The sequence below is a fragment of the Homo sapiens genome, chromosome X, assembly GCF_000001405.40.
Source record: "Homo sapiens chromosome X, GRCh38.p14 Primary Assembly".
Classification (NCBI taxonomy): Eukaryota; Metazoa; Chordata; class Mammalia; order Primates; family Hominidae; genus Homo; species Homo sapiens.
The window spans coordinates 7,840,952-7,845,016 of record NC_000023.11 but is presented as its reverse complement, the minus strand read 5'-3'; the positions used below and the strand labels follow the sequence as shown (position 1 = coordinate 7,845,016).

At 49.1% G+C, this 4,065-nt stretch overlaps 1 protein-coding gene across 3 annotated transcripts; it reads right to left on the bottom strand.

Moving 5' to 3' along the window:
• Positions 1-873: 873 nt before the first annotated feature.
• On the bottom strand, positions 874-2,755 carry VCX (variable charge X-linked). 3 transcript variants are annotated; one of them, NM_013452.3, is made up of 3 exons: positions 2,683-2,755; positions 1,712-1,959; positions 874-1,519 (listed from the first exon to the last, which is right to left on the bottom strand). In NM_013452.3, the coding sequence occupies exons 2-3, from the start codon at positions 1,811-1,813 to the stop codon at positions 1,001-1,003; spliced, it is 621 nt and encodes a 206-aa protein (NP_038480.2). In that variant the 5' UTR covers positions 1,814-1,959; positions 2,683-2,755; the 3' UTR covers positions 874-1,000. The 3 variants fall into 3 exon arrangements, with proteins under 3 accessions (NP_038480.2, XP_011543792.1, NP_001380591.1); XM_011545490.4 differs by lacking the exon at positions 2,683-2,755 and having other exon boundaries at positions 874-1,024; positions 1,085-1,519; NM_001393662.1 differs by lacking the exon at positions 2,683-2,755 and having other exon boundaries at positions 1,712-1,846.
• Positions 2,756-4,065: the final 1,310 nt, after the last annotated feature.

Sequence of the window (4,065 nt, the reverse complement as noted above, 5' to 3'; positions counted from 1 at the left end):
AAAGACCTGTGTATTTCTAATGTATGGAAATATGAATTGTACTTTCTGTCTCCTGAGTTGCAAAAATAAAAAGGCTTTTTTCAAGTAGATAGATTTTTCTCTACTTTGAATTTTTCTTCTTAATTATATTAGATTGTAGGGAGGGGACGCTGAAAGGAAAGAGATGGAAACGATTCTTCCATAGGTTTCTATAACCGAAAAGGTATTTTGACAGTGAAACCTAAGTAGGTAGAATCCAGTTCTTGGTACTTGGTGTATGTGCTAGCAAGATTGCATGAAGAAACAAACCGTGTAAGAAGCGGAGTCATCCTGTGAAGGGGAAATTTGTCTCCAGTGCTCAGCCATGACGCAATCCTTATCCTCCTGTCTGGCTAACTGTGACCTGTCCCCCTGACCTCAACCCCACGGGACCCCACTTCCCTCCCTCCCCACATACCACTTGTTCCTTCCTTCTTTCCTTTCTCCCTCCCCACACACCACCTCTTCCTCCTCCCTCCTCACACACCTCTTCCTCCCTCCCTCCCCACACACCTCCTCTCCCTCCCTCCCTCCCTCCCCACACACCTCTTCCTCCCTCCCTCCCTCCCCACACACCACCTCTTCCTCCCTCCCTCCCTCCCCACACACCTCTTCCTCCCTCCCTCCCTCCCCACACACCACCTCTTCCTCCCTCCCTCCCTCCCCACACACCACCTCTTCCTCCCTCCCTCCCCACACACCACCTCTTCCTCCCTCCCTCCCTCCCCACACACCTCCTCTTCCTCCCTCCCTCCCCACACACCACCTCTTCCTCCCTCCCTCCCTCCCCACACACCACCTCTTCCTCCCTCCCTCCCTCCCTCCCCACCATCAGAGAACACAGAGTCACTCAGATCAATTTGCAACACATTCATTTTATTATCTTCAGAATGGCAAGCACCCCGCTGGTGAGATCTCTGAGGTCTGGCGGCTGGGCCTGAACTTAGTCGCTGCTCTCGGAGATAGGGGAGTACTTGGCCGTCTACACACTCGGTAGTTCTTCCATCTCGCTCTCCTGACTCGGTGGTTCCTCCACCTGGCTCTCCTGACTCAGTGGTTCTTCCATCTCGCTCTCCTGACTCAGTGGTTCCTCCACCTGGCTCTCCTGACTCAGTGGTTCCTCCACCTCGCTCTCCTGACTCAGTGGTTCCTCCACCTGGCTCTCCTGACTCAGTGGTTCTTCCACCTCGCTCTCCTGACTCAGTGGTTCCTCCACCTGGCTCTCCTGACTCAGTGGTTCTTCCACCTCGCTCTCCTGACTCAGTGGTTCCTCCAGCTCGGCCTCCTGACTCAGGGGGTCGTGCTGGGTCCCCTCGCTCACTGGCTCCTCCGGCGGCAGCTCGTGCTGAGGGAGCTCCTGGCTGGGCTGGTCGCTGGGGCCGGGTGCCGCTGGCGCGCTCTCCGCCTCAGGTGCCGTCACGGCCGCCATCTTTGTCGCAGCCCCTTTCTTCCCGCGTCTCCCTCTACGAACTGCTTTTCCCTTCTTGGCCACCTTGGTAGTCTGGAAGGACAACAGGGAGATCACAGAAGGGCTCCGGTTTAGGGACGAGGATGGAGGAGGCTGGGAACAGGGACGTGTCCTCAGAAGCGGTGGGGGCCGGGTTGGGGGGTTGTGCCAAGTGAGGACAGGAGAGGCTTCTTGTGAGGAAGGAGGCGAGGGGAAGACGAGGAGGAGCTTGGGAGGGTCACTCACCTTCTTCTTCGGGTCACTGGGGCTCGGCTGAGAGGAGGACTTCCTCTTTCCTGCCTCCGTGGCCTTGGCCGGAGGTCCCGAGGCTCTCGGCTTTGGACTCATCTTCCGCAGCTCAACGTCTCGCAACGGTCGGCTAACTCCAGGCTGCCTGGCCTCCCTGTATATACCCCTCTCGCGATCCCAGGACGAGACAATCACGCCCCTGAGCTGTGATTGGTCAACACTCCACTACCCAGCCAATGGTCGCCCTGGGCGGGAAGGAAGGCCTTATACGTCACAAAGCACCATCAGGACATGGCGGATGAAGTCGGGGGCGGGGGGGGGGGTGACATCTAATGAGGAAGGCAGGGTGCTCTAATTGGAGAAAGGGAGATTTGGGTTAGCACCCCTAAAGATAGTTCCCAAACTGACATGTCACCCCTCCTAAACTCCCCGTGTTCAATTTTGGCAGATCACGTGGCACGGGAGGATATTTCCGCCACATGTTTCCCCCGGACCTCCCATTCAGTGGTACATTCTGTTCCTCCACACCTGCCATCATTACCCGGTTTCTGTATGACCTACCTAAAATCCCTCCATGCTAACTGGGATAGACGGAGGGCTATATGAAGACGTCAGTTGACCAGGCACAGTGGCTCACGCTTGTAATCCCAGCACTTTGGGAGACCAAGGTGGCTGGATCACCTGAGGTCGGCAGTTTGAGACCAGCCTGACCTACATGGAGAAAACCCATCTCTACGAAAAATACAAAATTAGTCAGGCATGGTGGCGCATGCCCATAATCCCAGCTACTCAGGAGGCTGAGGCAGGAGAATCGCTGGAACCCGGGAGGCAGAGGTTGCAGTGAGCCAATATAGCGCCATTGCACTCAAGCCTGGGCAACAAGAGCAAAACTCTGCCTCAAAAAAAAAAAAAAAAAAAAAAAGCCGTCAATCAATCATCCCTCTCTCCTACAAATTCCTCTGCTGCACCTTGAGGACCATTCACTTCTTGGATGCAATCAAAGAACTTTTCCATCTCACTTCCTTCTCCCAGTGTCCACATAGTGCCCCTCAATGTTTCATTCTCATGGTTTAAAGCACTGGCTTCAGGCGGTGAAGATCAGCAAAGACACTCGCTCAGCTGGGTATTTGTATCAGGCTGGGTTCCTCAGAGAAGGAGAAACTAAGCCAACAGGATATTTGTGTGAGTGTGTGTGTGTGTGTGTGTGTGTGTGTGTGTGTAATATATGTCATAAACATCTATTTACTATTGTATGGTATTTATTTATGAATAATATTATATACGATATGCTTTACTCTAAGCAATTGGCTCACACATTCACACATTGTGGGGGTCTAGGAAGCTGAAATATGTAGGGCAAGTGAGCAGCCTGGAAACTAAAAGCTTCTGCACAGTCAACAATCAACAAAATGAAAAGGCAGGGTATGGTTTGGGAGAAACTATTTGTGAACCATATATCTAATAACGAGTTAATATCCAAAGTATATAAAGAACTCATACAGCTCAATAGCAAAAAAAAAAAAAAAAATAGTCTGGTTTACGAATAGGTAAAGGACTTTAATAGACATTTCTCGAAAGAAAACCCACAACTGGCTGACAGGTTTATGAAAATGTGCTCAACATCATTAATAATCAGAGAATGCAAATGAACCACAATGAACTATCACCTCACACCTGTTAGGACGGGTATTAGCAAAAAGTCAAGAGATAAAAAGTAATGATGGCAAAGGTGTGGAGAGAGTGAAACCCTTTTAGGTTGTGCAGAAAAGGGGACCCTTACAGGGCAGAAATGTTATTGGTACATTATGAAAAACAGTATAATGGTTCCTTGGAAAATCAAAATAGAACTACCATATGACCCAAAATTTCATCTGTTGAGTATGTACCACCCCCCAAAATGAAATCCACATCTCATAGAGATAGCTCCAGTACTAATTCTAACTCATTAATCACACAGGAAATAAGAGTTTCTATTTGAAAACACTGGTTTTTTTTTTTTCACCATCTGGTGTCAAATACTTATCCTAGTCTAGTCATCTCTTCCTAGTTCTTGATTTGTAGTAACCTAGGTACTACTACACATTAACAGAACTAACTCATTATTCCAACAAGAAATGAGAAATGTTGAGAAGAATGAAATTTTATACTTGTCTTTAACCAGTTATTCTAGTTTTATGGAGGATTCTGTATTTAACTCTTACCCAGGTAACTCTAGTTACTGTATCCATAGTACCTAGTCAACAATCCAAAAAAAATAAGAACACAGAGTTGACTAGAATGGTTACTAAACTTTCTATGTTCAACCAGTTTTCCTGCTAATTGCTAGTTGTTTATTCAACTGTTTGCCTAAG

What these genes read in the sequence shown, in the direction of transcription:
- VCX (NM_013452.3), bottom strand. Translation starts at nt 1,813, where the DNA reads ATGAGTCCAAAGCCGAGAGCCTCGGGACCTCCGGCCAAGGCCACGGAG. An exon ending in CCAGTGACCCGAAGAAGAAG is followed by an intron (nt 1,520 to 1,711) that starts GTGAGTGACCCT and finishes TTGTCCTTCCAG; the next exon opens with ACTACCAAGGTGGCCAAGAA.